Source organism: Homo sapiens, chromosome 1 (assembly GCF_000001405.40).
Source record: "Homo sapiens chromosome 1, GRCh38.p14 Primary Assembly".
Lineage (NCBI taxonomy): Eukaryota > Metazoa > Chordata > Mammalia > Primates > Hominidae > Homo > Homo sapiens.
The window spans coordinates 7,156,923-7,176,770 of NC_000001.11; the positions used below are offsets into that span (position 1 = coordinate 7,156,923).

The 19,848-nt window shown below is 44.6% G+C and overlaps 1 protein-coding gene across 25 annotated transcripts in view, besides 1 other annotated feature; it reads left to right on the forward strand.

Annotated features, from left to right (window-relative positions):
* CAMTA1 (calmodulin binding transcription activator 1) overlaps positions 1 to 19,848 on the forward strand; it is a 984,253-nt gene that overhangs the window by 371,469 nt on the left and 592,936 nt on the right. The gene's annotated exons all lie outside the window — the stretch shown is intronic.
* Positions 17,228 to 17,728: an enhancer, noted in NCBI's record as "H3K4me1 hESC enhancer chr1:7234210-7234710 (GRCh37/hg19 assembly coordinates)". NCBI's record gives its function as "activates a minimal SCP1, AML or CMV promoter by ChIP-STARR-seq in primed H9 embryonic stem cells {active_cell/tissue: H9 hESC(primed)}" and the evidence as "EXISTENCE:reporter gene assay evidence [ECO:0000049][PMID:30033119]".

Below are 19,848 nucleotides of genomic sequence, written 5' to 3' on the forward strand. Positions count from 1 at the left end.
AACTGTAAGAGACGGGCTTTCAGAACAAAAATTCCCAATCACCTCTCTGTTCCCAAGAAAATCAGGGATCAGAAAGAATTTTTATGCAGAAAAAAGTATTTGACAACACTTAACACAAAAATTAATAATAAAAACTTTTGGCCGGGCGCGGTGACTCACGCCTGTAATCCCAGCACTTTGGGAGGCTGAGGTGGGCAGTTCACAAGGTCAGGAGATCGAGACCATCCTGGCTAACACGGTGAAACCCCATCTCTACTAAAAATACAAAAAAAATTAGCCGGGCGTGGTGGCAGGCACCTGTAGTCCCAGCGACTGGGGAGACTGAGGCAGCAGAATGGCGTGAACCCGGGAGGCAGAGCTTGCAGTGAGCTGAGATCGCTCCACTGCACTCCAGCCTGGGTGACAGAGTGAGACTCTGTCTCAAAAAAAAAAAAAAAAAAGCAGAAACAAAGAAACAAAAAACAAAAAAAAATTTTTTAGCAAGTTAGGGATAGAAGAGCCCATTCTTAATCTGATAAAAGGTAGCTATCAAAAGTCTGTAGCACAGGCAAATGGAAACTGAAACCAGAATGAGATATAACACACCCACCCTACTGGTGAAAATTTTAAAAGACTGAGGATACCATAAGCTGGCAAGGTTGTGGAACAACAGGAAGCTTCATACATTATTGATGGGGATGTAGATGGTACGAACAATTTGGAAAAGTACCTGGCAGTTTCTTAAACTAAATATACATCTATTGCATGACCCAGCAATTCCTCTCTTGGACATCTACCAAGAGAAATGAAAACATATGTTCACAAAAAGACTTGTATGAGAATGTTCTTGGCAGTTTTACTCATAGTCACTGAAAACAGAAAGCAACTCAGGGGTCTACCAACAGGTGAGTGGACAAGTGGAGGTATTTTTGTACAACAGAATGCTGCCCTGCAATAAAGAGAAACACATTTTGGGGGCCGGGCGCGGTGGCTCACACCTGTAATCCCAGCACTTTGGGAGGCCGAGGAGGGCGGATCACGAGGTCAGGAGATCGAGACCATCCTGACTAACACAGTGAAACCCCATCTCTACTAAAAATACAAAAGATTAGCCAGGCGTGGTGGTGGGCGCCTGTAGTCCCAGCTACTCGGGAGGCTGAGGCAGGAGAATGGCGTGAACCCGGAAGGCGGAGCTTGCAGTGAGCCGAGATTGCACCACTGCACTCCAGCCTGGGTGACAGAGCGAGACTCTGTCTCAAAAAAAGAAAACCAAAACACGTTTTGGATACATGCCACACACATGGATGAATCTCAAAAATGTCATGCAGAGTAAAAGAAGCCAGAAACAAGAGTACATGTTATATGTTTCATTTATATCAACTTCTAGATTAGGCAAAAGTAATTGGTGGTACAAAATGATCCTAACCATGGCTTCCTCTGTTGTGGGTGATGGTGTCTGCAATTTACTGGGAAAAGACATAAAGTAACTTTCTTGAGTGAGTACAATGCCTGTATCTTGACAGATGTTGGATTGCACAGTGAGGCGCATTTGTCAGATGTGTCCCATGATGCATTTGAGATCCATGCATTTCACTCTGTAAAATTTACTTCAAACAAACAAACTGCAAACAAATATTGAACTCTAGCTAATGATATGCCTTTAGACTTGTACTGATGTTGGCAATTTACTCTGAAATGCATCAAAAAATAAAATGGATCGATGAATGCACAAAAGGATGGCTGGATGGATAGTTACGAGATAGAGCAAATATAGCAAGATGTTAATTATAGAATCCAGGTGGTGGAAACAAGGGTTTCCTCTGTAAAATGCTTTCAGATTTTCTGTATGTTTGATAGTTTTCATAGTAAAATTTTGGAGGAAAACTGAGCAATCTATCTTTGGATTCATGCACATCTGGTAAAACTAGATTCTTAAAAATGATGGGAATTTTATGCACAAAGATCAGGAAGGAGGTTTCCCTTTGGGTTAGGCTTGCTAAGAGTGGGGCTCAAAGAAATACCCACAGTGGCTTAATGTGGACGATTCTAGTTCCTAAGTTGGGGTGAGGTGGGGGTGGGGTAATGGGTCTTCTTTTATTTAAACTTTGTGCTTTATAAATACAGAACACACATCTTTCTATGTATGAAGTGTTACGTACTATTTTTTTTTTAATTATATGGCTCTTAAGTTGTTTTCTTTTTTTAAAGGAAATAGTGGGGTCTCAGGAGTAGGGCAGTTCTGTTTTTAATAGGCTTTAAATGGTTTGGGCCTAAGATGGGCTGCCTTTCATCACCAGGGTGAGCTAGAGTTCAGGAGAATTTTGACCTTATTTGATTGCAAAACTTCAAAGTGATGGGCATTTTCAGTATGCTTACTTTTCAATGTGAGTAGAAAAACATACAAACCAGAACAGCTGGAATTTAAACTCTGGTAACACAGACCTCAAGTCCGGTCACCTTCCCTTCTCCCTGTCAGCCAGTGATCTCACTTTCTACTTCTCCAGCCCAAACAGAAGACAGGAAATCAGACTGTCCTCACCCATGCCCCACAGGCTACCGACTTCCCTGTGTGCCTTCCGTTCTCCACCTCCCTGAGCTCTGGATCCCACCATTTTTTCCTCTTCATCTTCAGTTTTGTTTTCGTTCTTGTTTTTGTTTTTGAGACAGGGTCTTGCTCTGTCACCCAGGCTGAAGTGCAATGACACAATCATAGCTCACTGCAGCCTTGAACTCCTGGGCTCGAGCAATCCTCCCACCTCAGTCTCGCAAGTAGCTAGGCCTACAGTTGCACAGGATCATACCTGGCTAATTAAAAAAAATTTTTTTTGTAGAGATGGGGTCTTGCTGTGTTGCACAGGCTGTTCCCAAACTCCTGACCTCAAGTGATCCTCCTGCCTTGGCCTCCCAAAGTGCTGGGAATTACAGGCATGAGCTACCACCCCTGGCCTTCTGGACAAATGTAGAGGATCGCCTTGCCCCTCCGTGCCTACTTCATAGTATTGTTCCATAAAGATTAGAATGGTTCCTGGCACATAGTACACTTTCAGTAAAAAACTTAGCTGTGGCTGGGTGCAGTGGCTCACAACTGTAATCCTAGCACTTTGGGAGGAGGCTGAGGTAGGCAGATCACTTGAGGCCAGGAGTTTGAGACCAGCCTGGCCAGCATGGCAAAACCCCATCTCTACTAAAATACAAAAATTAGCCGGGCATGGTGATGGGTACCTCTAATCCCAGGTACTTGGGAGGCTGAGGCAGGAGAATCATTTGAACCTGGGAGGAAGAGGTTGCAGTGAGCTGAGATCATGCCATTGCACTCCAGTCTGGGCAACTCCATCTCAAAAAAATAAAAGCTGTTATTATTAATGACTTAACTCTCCCTATCATATATCCTTTCTATATCTTCAGCTTTACTCCCCCTGTCCCTCCCCAAATGTCCTGAAATTGTCCAAAGTGGCTGTCTTTACCTTGTCACCTGGCCCCCACCAACGACCTCCTGGTTGCCATCGGACGTTTCTCAGTCCTCGTTTCTTTGACTATCTCGGCAGCATTGATTGGACACTCTGAGCCCCGTTTTTTTTTCTTGAAACAGACTCTTCCCTAGGCCCTCTGGAGTACCATGCTTCCTGGCTTTCCTTCCAACTCCCTGACCACCTTCTCTCTTCTCTTTGTGACCTCCCATTCCTATGCTCATCCCTTCTATATTTGTGATGCTCAAGATTCAGTCCAAGGCCTCCGTTTTCCTTACTTTAAAAACTTTCTTTGGGAAATTTCATCTATTTTTATGGATTTTGTTTCAATGATGACACACAGTTCTCTGTCTACAGCCCAGGTAGTACCACTAAGTTTCAGAACAGTAACCCCATTTGACTACTGACCACTTCCCCTTGGATTCCCCACACTGTTTTCCTCTCTCCCCTGACATGCGTTTCTCTTGGGTTCTCTTTCTCAGTATATGGTACCATCCATTTGAGTTCTCCTCCCTGCTCCAATCAGTCAGTTGGTCCAGTCATTCACCACTTGTGTTGACTGTACCTCTGATACCTGGAAGTCACTTCTTTCTCTCTGTCCTTCTTAAGCCCATCTGAGTTCAGGGTTCCATGATCTCTTTCCTGTATTGCTGCAAAGGCTTCTTCCTCTTCTCCTTGCTCCCTCTCTTGCCCTCCTCTACTTCATTCTATAAACCTCAATTCTGTGTATGTCATTCCAATACTTAAAACCTTTTAGTGCCTTTCCTCTGCTCTCAAACAAGATCCAAACTCCTGAATTTGTTCACAAGGCAGCACTCATGCTGGCTCTAGCCTCTTTCCCCACATTCCTTTCATCTCTCTGTGCCCTTTTCCTATGGGCTTTCAGGTCTCTGTTCTCTCTTCCTGCAGCCCTCCTTCTCCACCCTGCACAGTTAGCTCCTGCTCATCCTCTAGTGCTCAGCTTCACAGTCACGCCACCCAGGAAGCCTTCTGTGATCTGTTTCCTTCACTCATGCAGCAAATCTCCATTGAGGGCTGATATGGTTTGGCTGTGTCCCCACCCAAATCTCATCTTGAATTGGAACTCCCACAATTCCCACATGTCTTGGGAGGTGATTGAATTATGGGTACGGGTCTTTCCTGTGCTGTTCTCATGATAGTGAATGAGTCTCAGGAGATTGGATGGTTTTAAAAACAAGAGTTTCCCTGCACAAGTTCTCTCTTTGCCTGCTACCATCCATGTAAGACATGACTTGCTCTTCCTTGCCTTTCACCTTCTGTCATGATTGTGAGGCCTCCCCAGCCACATGGAACTGTAAGTCCAATAAACCTCTTTCTTTTGTAAATTGCCCAGTCTTGGGTATGTCTTTATCAATAGCACAAAAACGGACTAATATAAGGGCCCATTCCATCCGGGCACCAAGGGTGGAGTGGTGAAGGACGGGCAAGGGTCTCATTCTCAGAGCTGACAGCCACTGGGGAAAGGCAGTAAGGGGCAAGCAATGAATCTGATTGGCTCCAATAGTACAATAGCAATGAAGAAAACAGGGCAAGGTGTGCAACGCCAAGCTTACTGTGTGTGTCTCTCTGTGTCGGCAACGTCAGATCCTCTCGCCTGAGAATATCTGAACTCAAACTTGAAGGAGATGAAGAAACTAGCCCTGCAAAGATTAGAGGGAAGGACAGCCCTGGCAGGAGGAACATGTAGAAGGCCATTGGGCAGGGGCGTTTCTTGATGTGTTAGAGGAATAGAAAGAAGGCCAGGGCTTCTGGAGTATGGTGGGTGCAGGAGAAAGCAGGGAGCTGTCAGGTCCCAACAGTTGGCTGGGGCAAGACCATGTATGGTCTTATAGGTCATGGTAGGGAGCTAGGATTTTATTTTTGGTGCAGTGGACGCCATTCGAAGGTTTTAACCAAGGGAGTTCCACAGTTGGACATAATCCTCATATAATACAATTCAAAGAGTACAATTTGATGGTTTTTAATATATTTACAGAGTTGTGCAACCATTGCCACAGTGTGTCTTAGAACCCTAATCAGTTTTCATCATCCCCAAAGGAAACCCTGTACCCATCAGCAGGCACTCCCTTTTCCCCCCAGCCCCTCCAGCCCAGGGCAACCACAAATCTACTTTCTGTTTCTATTAGACTGATGTATTGTGGACATTTTATATAAAAAGAATCATACAATGGGTGGTCTCTTGCAACTGGCTTTTTAAACTTATGGTAATGTTTTCAAGGTTTATTCATATTTTAGCACTTATCAGTAAGTACTTTGTTCCTTTCTATGGCTGAGTAATATTTTGTGGTCTGGAGGGACCGTATTTCATTTATCAGCTCCTCAGTTGATGGACATTTAGGTTGCCTCCTCCTTTTGGCTAATACAAATAATGTTTCTGAGAATCTTCCTGTATGAGCTTCTGGATATGTGCCTTCCCTTCCCTTGGGTATAGACATAGGGGTGGAATTGCTGAGCCATGTGGTGACTCCGTGGCTGATCTTTTGAGGAGCTGCCAAGCTGTTTTCCAAAATGGCTATGCCATTTTATGTTCACACCAGAGGTTTAGTTTTGAACGTTTTGGCAGTTCCAGATCTCTCCTGCCATGGAAAATAGATTGTAGGCAGCAAGCGGGGAGGCAGGAGGACCTGTGAGGCACTAAGGGAGGCTGGATGGGCCTCTCTGCCTTCAAGATTGTGTAACAATAGTCCCTGAAACCATGCTGAGGAGAAGAGTGAGGCTGAACAGGAATGATGGGGAGTGAATAAACCATGTGGTTGGAAGTCCTGCTCAGCCCGAGAATGACTGGGTGATAGTCCTGGTGCCAAAGACCTAGAGCCACAGATGCTGGTCCGAGAAGAGGTTTGCAGTGGTGGTTTCAGAGGTGGTGCTGTTATTGGTGGCTGGAGGTGTGGGTGGCCAGGCTGGGGTGGGGGGAAAGGTCACTGGATGGGGGGAGACCAAGGAGCGGGAGGCCGGGGGGTGGGTGGGTCATCATATGGATGTTGAGGTCATCCAGAATAGTGGCAGGGGTGGACCTGGAGAGGAAGAGAGTGACCCAGGCCTGGCAGAACAGAGCAGGCAGCACGGCCAGGAGTCCACAGATGGCAGTGATGGGAAGCGAGGGACGGCAGTGATATGGAATGGCACCGGCTTCCAGGGAACTGGGGTTTTGATGGAGGAAGCAGGAGAAATACTTTGGAATTGGTAACAGGGAACAAGGAGGACATCAATTTAGCTCTAGGCTCTGCAATACTTGGGGTATGGGAGAAAAGATGGCATTTTGGGAGTCCTAGAGAGATGGGGTCCTTGGGGAATGGCAGGTTTCATCTGAGGCCTGACCTGAAAGCAGGTGGACAACGGTGAACAGTATGTCAATGATCCTCTGCGGGACCCAAAGCAACATGGTCGAAGGATTGGGGAGGGTGCGGGGAGCAGGCCAGGGAGGGACAGTGCCTGTGCAGGAATTCCCACTATATGCTCTTAGCACCTGTCACATCCTTATCAAGCTCTACCCTAATTACTGGTGCACTCGTTTTCCCTTTAGACTGTACATTTTGTGTTATAGAGAGCATATCTTTTTATTCCTTGCTGTAGCTGCAGTTTCTAGCACAGATATGCTAGCACCTACTATGTGCTCAAAAATGTTGGTTGAATGGGTGAGAGAATGCTGAGCTCTTCCCAGATGCCATCACAATGCCAGGATAGCAGTTAGCTGAGGTTTGGGGAGGAGGGTGTATAGATTTAGAGGCTTCCCCACTCCTCGCTCCCCACGTTTCTTCTCATTCTGACTCTAGTGTAGAAGTCAAGTCCATCCTATATTTTATCTCAGAAGTTTTGGCAAATAACAAGGCATGCAATATTGACTAAGAGCCTCCAGGATCCCACAGGCCCCAGTGGGCCCCATTACCAGCTATTTGGAAGTTGAGGCAGACAGACTGAATTGGGTCGTTGAAGGAGTTTGCCAGTTTGTGGTGGGAATTGAGTTGAATTTATTATCATTTTTGCCAGCAACCCTTTGCCACATATTTATTTAATCCAAGGATTCTAGAGAAAGCTAGGGGTTTGATGGGCAGGTGGCTGGATGCCAGCGTGGCCCGTGTTTGGGCTGGCACCCCTCACTCCACTTGGCGCTTTATTCCAAAGCTGTGGCACCCCTGCAACACACAGCAGCCAGTGTCTTGGGGTCTATGCCCGTGCCTAGGACTGGCCCATCCTGTCATGTGCGGAATTGGGCATCTGGTCAGATCTCACAGGAAATGCTGAATTTATATTTGCAGCTTTGAAAGCCAGGGAGAAACAGAAATGGACAGATCATTTGAAAATTCAAATTATTTGTTCCTTGTTTTTGCAGCGTTTCAGCCAGTAAGGTTTGTTTCACCTTCATAAAGGATGATTAATCGAACTAAGAGAAGAGCCCTGTCTAATTGTGTGTGGGTGTGTTTGGGGCAGTGTGATCATTGGAACACCAAGAGAATGATGCAGACAAATATTTATGCCCTCTTTGTTTCCTATTTCAATGGTAACATCATCTGTTAAAGTATTGCTCTTTGCAGGAGTATCCTGCATTAGAATGCTCGTCCCTTTGTCCCTTTCGGAATTGTCACTTTTCTTTATGAGAAAGTGTTTGGAAAAGCTTCTTAAATAAAATGTAGCTGAAAAATGTTGAAAGCACGACAGTAATAAAGTAGACATCACTGCCTAGAAAAAACGATCTGCTTTTGAAAAGAAAAACTACATTGAAACTGGCCAAATCACTTCAAATGGCTAGATTGCAAAATCATCCCAGGATGGATGAATGTTGTCAACATAGAAATGAGTGGTTGGAGATCTTCATTTGAAATGCATTATTAATTACTTCATAAGATGATACCTACAGACAAGCATAGAGAATAATGTAATGTACAGCTGTTTACCCACCACTTAGCTTTCTTGATCAAATCTTACCCTTTGCCCCATTTAATTTGATTTCTTAAAAAGAAAGAAAACATAATGTATACACATAATCTTGATCTAATTTCCTTCCCTCTGGCCCCAGTGATAGTGTTTTTCACCCTCATGCTTCTTTTCTTTTCTTTTTTTTGGAGACGGAGTCTCACTCTGTCACCCAGGCTGGAGTGCAGTAGTGCGATCTCGGCTCACTGCAACTTCTGCCTCGCAGGTTCAAGCAATTCTCCTGTCTCAGCCTCCCCAGTAGCTGAGACTACAGGCACGCACCACCATGCCTGACTAATTTTAGTATTTTTAGTAGATACGGGGTTTCACCATATTGCTCAGTCTGGTTTCGAACTGCTGACCTCAGGTGATCCACCCGTCTCGTCCTCCCAAAGTGCCAGGATTACAGGCGTGAGCCACCACGCCTGGCCACATATTTTCATTCCAAAGTATTTGCAATACTTTTATCACATATTTATGTATTTATTAACAATACATGGCATTGTTTTGCAGATTTTAAAAGTTTATATGAGACCATCCAATATTCTCTTGCAACATTGTTCTTAAGTGTTAGATCCTTACAGAGAGATGATAGAGAGAGATAGGGGTGTGTGTATGTAATAGGTATTATGTATCTTACATATGTATATCATAACAAGACATACATATATTTCTAGTTCACTTATTTTAACTGCTGTATAGAATTTTATTGCATTAACATTTATATGCTAGTGTCTCTCTAAGCGGGGGGGTGTGTTTACTTGGATACTCTCTTTTTTTTTTTGAGATGGGGTCTCGCTCTGTCGCCCAGGCTAGAGTGCAGTGGCATGATCTCGGCTCACTGCAAGCTCCTCCTCCTGGGTTCAGGCCATTCTCCTGCCTCAGCCTCCCGAGTAGCTGGGACTACAGGTGCCCACCACCATGCCCAGCTAATTTTTTGTATTTTTAGTAGAGACAGGGTTTCACCATGTTAGCCAGGATGGTCTCAATCTCCTGACTGCGTGATCTGCCTGCCTCAGCCTCCCAAAGTGCTGGGATTACAGGCGTGAGCCACCGCGTCCGGCCTACTTGGATACTCTCATATTCCTAAAAGTGGAACTGTTGGGTGGTAGAGTACCTATACCTTCAGCGATTATCATTGCTGTCCAAGATGTTTGTATTGATTTATGGTCCCAACTACAAGTGGAGTGTGTGATGGTTCCCATTTCTTCACATTCCCATCACAGACTTTGTCTTCATTTCTACTTTCCTTGCTACAGTGAGGCTGAGCTTCTTCTCATAGAGGGTTATTGGCCATTTGGGTTTCTTCTGTGAATTGCCCATTCTTTTCCTTGCTATTGGATTGTCTGTCTTTTAGTTATTGATTGATTTGCAGGGATTCTTAATATTTTCTAGACCCTGATCTTGAGTTTGCTCTATGCATTACAACTGTTTTCTTCATTTTGATACTTTTAAGAAAGTGTTCCTAATGGTGTCTTGGTGGGTAGAAATTCTTAGTTTTGATGCAGTTTTTTTTTTTTTTTAAATTGAGATGGAGTCTCACTCTGTTGCCCAAGCTGGAGCGCAGTGGTGCAATCTTGGCTCACTGAAACCTCCACCTTCTGGGTTCAAGTGATTCTCTTACCTCAGCCTGCTGAGTATCTGAGATTACAGGTACCCGCCACCCCGCCCAGCTAATTTTTGTATTTTTAGTAGAGATGGGGTTTCACCATGTTGGCCAGACTGTTCTCAAACTCCTGACCTCAGGTGATCCACCTGCCTCGGCCTCCCAAAGTGCTGGGATTACAGGTATGAGCCACCGTGCCCGGACAATGCAGTTTAATTTAATTTTATTTTTTATGTTAGTGCTTCTTGTTCTTGTTTACTAAATCTTTATCCTAATCCATAAATATTATCTTCTAAATAGTTTAGGAGTTTGGTTTGGCTTTCACATCCAAGTTTTAATCTATCTAAAATTCATTTTGTGTAGGAAAATTCTCCTTTTTTTCCGTGTTGGAAAGAGGTGTCCCATGCATTGGATGAGTCATCCTTTCCCCAGTGATGTGCATATGTCAAGTCTGTCCATAGATGATTCCTGTCTTATGTCAAGTAGCTGCCTGTGCGTAGATCTGTTTCTGGGCCCCTTATGCCATCACTGTAGTCGTCAGTTTGTCTATTCTTGTCTCAGCACACCATCAGTTCAGTTGCTGTAGTTCACTGTAGCTTGGAAATAAGTCTTCACAGGTGGTTGATCACATTCTCCTCTCCCTCCTACCACTATATATATGTTCTGCATTTCACCTATTCTTGGCCTTTGCTGTTTCATGAACATTACGGAAGATAATCTTGTCAAAATCCTCAAATTCCTATGGGGAGATTTTGATTGGAATTACATTAAATCTGTCAGTTTGGTGAGAATTGACCTATTTAGGATATTGAGTCTTCTTTTTTAAATTAATTGGTTAATTAATTAATTAATTAATTTTAGAGACAGAGTCTTGCTCTGTCACCCAGTCTGGAATGCAGTGGGGTAATCATAGCTCACTGCAGCCTCGAATTCCTAGCCTCAAGTGATCCTCCCACCTCAGCCTCCCGAGTAGCTAGGACTACAGGCATGTGCCACCATACCCAGCTAATTTTTACCTTTTTGGTAGAGACAGGGTCTCACTATGTTGCCCAGACTGGTCTCAAATTTCTGGCTTCAAACAATCCTCCCAAAGTCCTGGGATTACAGGTGTGAGCCACTGTACCCAGCTGAGTTTTCTATCTTTGAACAGAAGATCTATCTTAGGTTAAACACTAATAATTTATTCTTATAAACTTTAGCTTTTAAATTGCAATTATGTGTTATTTTAAAAAGTATATTTTCTGTTTGTTGCTATTGTATATAAATTAATTTATTTTTTGTATGTTGACCTTATGTTAGGCACTTTGGTGGAATCTTTTAATACTTTGCCTCTAGATTCTTTGAATTCTATGTAGATAATTCACACTCAATGAATATTGAGAGTTCTTTCTTCATTCTCAACCCTTAGAGATTTTATTTCTTATTCTTGCATTACTGAGCAGATTAGAACTTCTGTTGTACTAGACTTCTATTGTATTAGAAGTTCTTTTTGTTTGTTTGTTTGTTTGTTTTTTGAGACAGAGTCTTGCTCTGTTGCCCAGGCTGGAGTGCAATGGCACGATCTCGGCTCGCTGCAACCTCTGCCTCCCAGGTTCAAGCAGTTCTCCCATCTCACCCTCCCTAGTAGCTGGGATTACAGGCGTGCACCACCACACCCAGCTAACTTTTTGTATTTTTAGTAGAGACAGAGTTTCACCATGTTGGCCAGGCTGGCCTGGAACTCCTGACCTCAGGTGATCCACCCACCTCGGCCTCCTAAAGTGCTGGGATTACAGGCGTGAGCTACTGCATCCAGCAATTGTACTGGAAGTTCTGATCTGCACAGTAATGCAAGAACAAGAAATAAACTTGAAGTTCTAGGACAGAGAACAAGAATAGAACTAGAAGTCCTAGTACAACTTCTAGTTGAGTAGAAATATTAATAGCAGGAACTCTTGCCTCATGTCTGATTCTAAAGGAGATTCTTCTAGTGTTTCATGGTTAATAGTAATATTTGCTGTAGGGGTTTTATTTGTTGGTTGGTATAGTATAAACTCTTTATTAGATCAAGGAAGGTTTCTTCTATTTTAGTTTGCTAAGAATTTTAAAATCACAACTGGATGTTTAATATTATTGAATGCTTTTAATGTCACTAGTAAGAATAATCATATACTTTTTCTCCTATAATCTGTTAACATTATGAATTATAGTTATTTTCTAATATTAATCTAACTGTAATCCTAGGATAAACCCAACTTGTTCATGGTTTATTATTTTTAGACATTACTGGATTTGGTTTTCTAAGATTTTGTTTAGGAGTTTTGCGTCTATGTTCATGATTTATAATGGCTTCTATATTTCTTTTCTCATGATATTCTTGTCAGACTTAATGTCAAACATGAGTTTGAGGCCATGGAATAATTATGCTGTGGAATAATTTGTGTAAGATGATGATTTGGATTGTTACCTGAATATTTAATTAGAACTATTTAAGTGGTACCATCATCTGGACCTGGTAATTTTTATCTACTGCTTCTTTTTTGTGTGTTTACAAGAATATTCAGGTTTTTATATTTTCTTAAGATGGTTTAGATAAGTTTTTTTAATAATTTGTCAATTTCATTTAGACTTTTTTTTTGTTGAATGGAGTCTTGCTCATGCCAGGCTGGAGTGCAGTAGTGCAATCTCAGATCTCAGTTCACTGCAATCTCTGCCTCCCAAGTTCAAGTGAGTCTCCTGCCTCAGCCTCCTGAGTAGCTGAGACTACAGGCATGCACCACCACACTCAGCTGATTTTTGTATTTTCAGTAGAGAAGTGGTTTCACCATGTTGGCCAGGCTGGTCTCGAACTCCTGACTGGACTTGAGCTGGGCTCAAGTGATCTGCTCTCTTCAACTTCTCAAAGTGTTGGAATTACAGGCATGAGCCACTGTGCCTGGCCTAAGCTTCTAACTTATTGTCATGATATAGTCATATATCCTCTCAATAATTTTTTAATATTTGAAGCTTCTCTGGTTATGTTCTTTTCACTCCCAATATTATCCTTTTTAATCAGAATTTTGTCAACTGTATTGTTCTTTTCAAAGAACCAACTTTTGACTTTGCTGTTTGTATCTATTTTAGATTTGTTTCCTGTTTTGTGAATTCCGTTTTTATGCTGTTTTCCTACTTTCTATTCTTTGAATTTATTCTACTTTCCTTCTTCTAATTTCTTAAGCAGGAGCATTGGTTCATTAATTTTAGCTTTCCCTCTTTTCTATATGAACATTTAAATGAACAATTCCTTTCTAAATATGTTTTAGCGTATGTTCCATGTGTTTTAACATGTAGTAGTTTGATTATCCTTCAGTTCGCAATGTTTTTTAACCTCCATTATGATTTCTGTTTTGAATTGTATAAAATGGGTTTCTTTTTTTTTTTTTTTAATTTTACTTTAAGTTCTGGGATTCATGTGCAGAATGTGCAGATTTGTTACATAGGTATACATGTTCCATGGTGGTTTGCTGCACCCGTCAACCCATCATCTAGGTTTTAAGCCCTGCATGCATTAGGTATTTGTCCTAATGCTCTCCCTCCCCTTGCCCTCCAACCCCGACAGGCCCCAGTATGTGGTAGTCCCCTCCCTGTGTCCATGTGTTCTCATTGTTCAACTCCCACTTCTGAGTGAGAACATGCAGTGTTTGGTTTTCTGTTTCTGTGTTAATTTGCTGAGAATGATGGCTTCCAGCTTCATCCATGTCCCTGGAAAGGACATGAACTCATTGTTTTATATGGCTGCGTAGTATTCCATGGTGTATATGTGCCACATTTTCTTTATCCAGTCTATCATTGATGATCATTTGGGTTGGTTCCAAGTCTAAAACATATTTCTTAATTTCCAAACATATAGGGTTTTTTCTGGGATCTTTTTGTTAACTGATTTCTAATTTAAGTTTTGGTCTGTAGTTCACTTCATTGTTATTTGGACAATATGATGCTAGCGGTTTTGAAATTTTTTGAGACCCAGTATTGGTTCCAGCAAATATGGAACATGGAATGTTTTCCATTTTGTGGGTGCCATGTTCTAAGTGTTTGTCGAATCAAGTTTGTTAATCATGTTATTCAAATTTTCCTTATTTTTCCTGATTTTAGTTTCAGTTTGACCTATACTGAGAAAAGTGCCCTAAAAATCTCCCCTTTTAATGGTGGATTTGTTCAGTTTCTCCTGGTCTTCCCTTCAGAGCTTTCCTTTATTGACTACTTCACTTTTGAAAAATGTTTTCAACCTGTTCTCCTGGAACGTGAGGAAAATGCAGCTTGTTCCTTGTTCCATTTGTCCAGTGGCCAGTTCAAGAAAGGTTGGACCCACATCTATCATTTCCATCAGCAGTGAGCTGTTCAGAGTATGTGCAATTGCCTTGGTTTGGAGACATGGCTGCACACATTTAGGACTCTGGCTTTGCTCAAGCTGTTCCCCTGCACAGAATGCCTTTAACCTCTCCCTTTTCCCTGCCCCTTGTTCACCTGGTGAACTCTTTCTCTTTCCAGCCCTGCTCAAATGTTACCTCCTATTACGATTATTTGTTTCCACTTCTGCCTCCCCCAGTATCTCAGGGCCAACACAGACCAAGTGGTCAACAAGTATTTATTGGACTGAAATAGTTTCTGCTCTTAAGGGACTCTTTTCTATGAATTATTCTCCCCTGCCCCCAATCAAATCCATCCCTTAAATTTTAAAAAACTGAGATGAAATTCACATAACATAAAATTACCCATTTTAAAGTATACAATTCAGTGGCATTTAGCACGTCCACGATGTTGCGCAGTCACTGCTACCTAATTCCAATGTGCTTTCATCTTCCCAAAGTGAAAGCCTGTACCCACGGCTCAGGCAGTCCCTCCCTGGTCCCCCTCCTACAGCTCCTGGCAGGCACTCAGCTGCCTTCTGTCTCCATGGATTTGCCTGTTCTGGATGTTTCATAGAAATGGAATCATATAATATGTGACCTTGTTGACTGGCTTCCTTCACTCCTCATGCAGTTTCTGAGGTTTGTCTGTGTTGTCGCACATGTCAGTGCTTAGTTCCTCTTCGTGGTGGAATAATTGTCTATTGTACTGGACCACATTTTGTTTATCCATTCATCTGCTGATTAATATTTGGGTAGTTTCCCATCCCTGTTCCATTTTTCCTTTTCTCTCACTCAGCCCCATCATTCAGCATTTTGCTTTTCATTGTCACGGGACAGGTTCAGGTTGAATCAAGTGGAGGTGGAGATCTTGTCCTGTGACTTCTCTTTTTTTTTTTGAGATGGAGTCTCGCTGTTGCCCAGGCTGGAGTGCAGTGGCGCTATCTTGCCTCACCGCAACCTCTGCCTCCTGGGCTCAAGCGATTCTCCTGCCTCAGCCTCCTGAGTAGCTGGGATTACAGGTGCCTGCCACCACGCCCAGCTAATTTTTGTATTTTTAGTAGAGACAGGGTTTCACCGTGTTGGCCAGACTGCTCTTGGACTCCTGAGCTCAAGTGATCTGCCCACCTCGGCCTCCCAAAGTGCCGGGATTACAGGCATGAGCCACTGTGCCTGGTCCCCAATGACTTCTTAATCCAGGAGAGCTTCTAGGGAGGTGAAGGTATGCGGAGCATGAACAACAGCATGACAGGCCTTGGAATGATCATGGTGGTCACCAAAGGGGGCAGGGCATGGAGCGACTTAATGAGCACAGAGAGCCTGAATTTCTGCACACACATCTGATGAGGGATGCCCAGCCTGGGGATGCTCTGTGATCTTTAAACAACGGTCTCACTGGGCAGCTGAGCCTCTCAGCCAGCCTGATGTTTTCATTCTTGCCAGGCTTTCCCTGGGGAGACAGGAGGACACTGGACTCAGCAGAAAGAAGGACATTTGCTTGCTAGGACCATGCCCGTGATGGCTGGCATCCCCGGGGCCCTGGAGGGTGAGGCGTGAGGGGCAGTGACGCAAATGCACGATCTCCTCTCATGGTGGGTCTTTGCAGACTCTCCGTCTGCTATCCCCAAGGTTTGGGAGCAGCCAAGTGTTTAATGATGTTCTGCACCAGCAATTTTAGACTCTCGGAGCTAAAATTAGATCCCTTCCTGGTGCCTCGGGGAGGATGGGCTGGCTGTGTCCATCCATCCCGTGCTGGAGCGTGGCTGGGGACAGGCTGTGCGGGAGGCGCAGGGGTGAGGCTCCGAAGCAAGAGCAGCCAGACGCTGCGTCCCTCCTGTCTCTTCAGCTGCGCCTTCCTCAGGAGAGACAGAAAGAGCCTTTGGCTGCCCTCTGTCCTCTTGAGGGTCACTATGTCTATGTTTGCATCCCAGCTTTACAGCTTCCCAGTTCTCTGGCCTCAGGCACATCATCCTAAACTGGGCACGATAATCCCCCTGAGGCGGAGTTGTGAGCTGAAATGAACAGAAGGCAGAGCGGGGTGCAGGGCCTGGCCGTGACTGAGGCTCCACGAACGCTGGCTCCCTTCTTAAATTTTTGTGGAACTGTGGGAACACACAGTTTAATTTTTTTTTTTAAGACTGATTTTCACTCTAGTCATCCAGGCTGGAGTATAACAGTGTGATCTTGGCTCACTGCAACCTCTGCCTCCAGGGTTCAAGCGATTCTCCTACCTCAGCATCTCAAGTAGCTGGGATTACAGGCACGTGCCACCACACCAGGCTAATTTTGTATTTTTAGTAGAGATGGGGTTTTTCCATGTTGGCCAGGCTGGTCTCTTAATTCCTGACCTCAGGTGATCCACCCACCTCAGCCTCCCAAAGTGCTGAGATTACAGGCGTGAGCCACCGTGCCCAGCCCAGAGCTTAATTTTTTTTTTTAATTATTTCTTTCTAGCCTTCTTTACATGGTCCCTGGCTTGACTGGGGGTTGGGAGGTGCAAGGAGGAAGGTGACAGTTGACTTTCCTTCCTACAAAAACTCAACATGGCTCAGTGGACTGGACCCCAGCAGAACTTAGCAGAACCCAAAAAGGCCCAGTGGAACCCAGGGGACCCACAGGGACTCAACAGGACCCAGCAGGTACCAACAAAACCTAGTGGAACTCAGAGGGGCCCAGCCTTTACCATGGGTTACCTTTGACACCAAGGTTCCCCCACCCCTACCCTTCAAGATACCTGGGTACCTTTCCTTGTCATTGTGACTGTCAAGCCCTCTAATCAGTCCACACGAGAGCCCCTCCACTCCTCACCTCCCACCTCCCTCTCCCTGAGGAAAAACAGCTGATCAGGGAGCAGTGCAAAGCAAGCTCTCTGGGCCTTATATCCCCTGAAGGAGCAGCTCTGTCAGGCCGGGAAAATGGTTGTATTATTCTTCTGCAGAACTTATTAGATTAGAAACTTAGTACAAACAGCCCCAGCTGCAACCGCTATACATAGTCACTATCAACAAGGAAAATTTATGCTTTAAAAATAAAAAGAAACTCAAGTGCATTAGTCAGAGTGAGGAAGCGTTCACGAAAAAAGGTTTGTTCTCCAAGTAAACAGCCACAATGGAATTGTAATCAAATTTCTTAATTATTTCTATAAATCTTGGGAACATAAAAATACACAAGGCCCTTTTTCAAAAAGTCACTGTTTGCAAGTGCCTTGGATGAGAGAAGAGGTAACCGAAACAGCTCTGGCATGACTGGAAGATTCCAGAAGGGGTGAAGCCACGATTCGGGAGCTGAGAGCACATTGCCTCGTCACAGACCAGGAGCAGAGGCTGGGGGGACCACTTCTGAGGGGGCGCCACGAGAGCCGCATTTAGGGCGACTGCATAAAGAACCTGAGACCCAGTTCTGCAGAGCTCAGCTTCCTCCAGTCACGAGAGGCCGTGGACGAGCAGGAGGCAGGTGGCCCTGGGGGGCCTGGGAATTGGGAGGAGTTAGAGCTGCTTCTAGGGAGGCAGGAGAAGCTGGGCATCATTGGTGCCCCACGGCCCAGGCGAGGCAGAGGTGCCCTGTCTGTCCTCGTCAGGCAGGCAGCTTGTGGGTCTGGGATGGTTTTTCCCTGCTGTGTGTCTAAGGCAGAAGAGATTGGCCTGACATCCGGATGTCCCATCATGCCTTTCCCCAGGATTAGGGAGCAGTTCTTTTATAAACTATGTTTGAAACTAATTTAGAAAATTAGAAACATAGAAAAAAAATGTCATAAGTTATCTTGGTACATCCTGGTGTGTGTGTGCGTGTGTGTGTGTGTATGTGCGTGTCTGCAGGTGTGTAGGACAGGAAAGTACAGGAGTGGGAGGGTCAGGCACTCTGGCCCATGTGCCCAAGCACACACTTGGATGTTGGCACTTTTCAGGTGTCCAGGTGTTGCCTCTTGTCCCAGTGGACACTCTGGGAAGGACAATAGACAGGGTCGTTGACATCTGGCCACGGTGCGGCTGGCAGTTTTAATGCCATAGAATATGTGATGGAGACAGATGCATGTCAATAACATAATAAAGATATTTTTCCATCCACAAATGTCTGATATTGGAATTACTATTCTTCTGTTTTCTGTTCTGCTATAACCTGCTTAACTCTTCAAGAAAGCCAGAGTATCTTGTTTGAACAGTTGGCCACACGCTCGCATGATAACACAATTCCATTAAAACATTCATACCTTCAGCAGAAAGGCACCCCGCCAAATGCTCTATGTGTTGTATTAAGCCATAAGCAGAATTAAAGTGCGGAATCCCAGCCTTTCCAAATAGTGCAGGAATTGCGTGGGGGGCTGCAGGCTGGGGAGGAGCAGGCAACTGCACTGTTAAACCCCAGGTCCAAATCCTGCAGCCACCCCAGCCGCTTGAAGCGGGGTATCCCCTGGGATCAAACCGTTAGTCCATCAAACACTGCCTTAGTGCAAAGCCCTGTCCCTGGCCGAGGCTTCTCCCCTCCCCTCTGGGCAGTCCTCAGCTGAGCAGAGCAGGTGCCCTTGTCCTTTCAGCCCCCAGGTATTTGCAGGTCCTGGACTGACAGGCTTTGCCTGAAGCCATGTGGGTTTCAGAAAGGCTCTTTCCTGCCGATTTACACTGTGACTTCACAAATAAGCTATTTTCATGGTCATTGATCTTGTCGGTGGTCCCTCACATTTCCCCAGATCATCTCTAAGCAAACTCTGAAGTGGGTCAGCAAAGCAGCTCCCCCCAGGGAGGGCAGCCTGGAGCTGCTGCAGCTCCCACCACCTGACCTTGGAGGTATGCACCTCACTTGGGCTATTCTGACCTCAGATTCCTCCTCTTCGGTAATTGGGGTATAGCGGGGATAGATACCTCTTGATTCATGTTAAAACAATGTAATCCTTTTGCAATGTGATGAGCTGCCCCTGCTGCATTTTGTCAGATCAGAGTTTTGCAACAAGGACTCTCTTAAAGTGAGATGCACTTGTCACTGCAGCTGGATCTTTCTGTCCGAGCAGGAGGAGCAGCGTGAAGGTGAAACTGAAGGGAAGAAGAACCCACACTCAAGGCATTCTGAGCTCTGTGGTAACCAGAAGCCCTGGGTGACTGGGGTGCTTGAGGGAGATGTAGGCTGCTAACTCCTTCCACTTTGGTGTCTGTACAGAGGGAGGGACCTTTTCCAAGGGAACAATGCCTTTATGTTCTGGAAGAGTTCTGTACTGAGCCCATAGGGTATCCTTAGGCCTCGGAGTCAGGGGCCTACACATGCTAAACTCCAGCTGCTCTTTGAGTCTAGACACTCGCTCCAGCTCCAACTGCTTCTGATTCTACAGCTCGTTCGCACTTTTTCCTGGTTGCCCTGGGTTAGCCATTGGGATAGACAGATGCTGAGGGCATAGGAGCACTCACGGGTTTCTACTCTGGATCCTTCCATAGCATATTTAATCAAGACATTTTTGCAAGAATAGATGAATTGGGAGGCAGTATAGTAAAGCAATGACAATGTGAATTGTAGC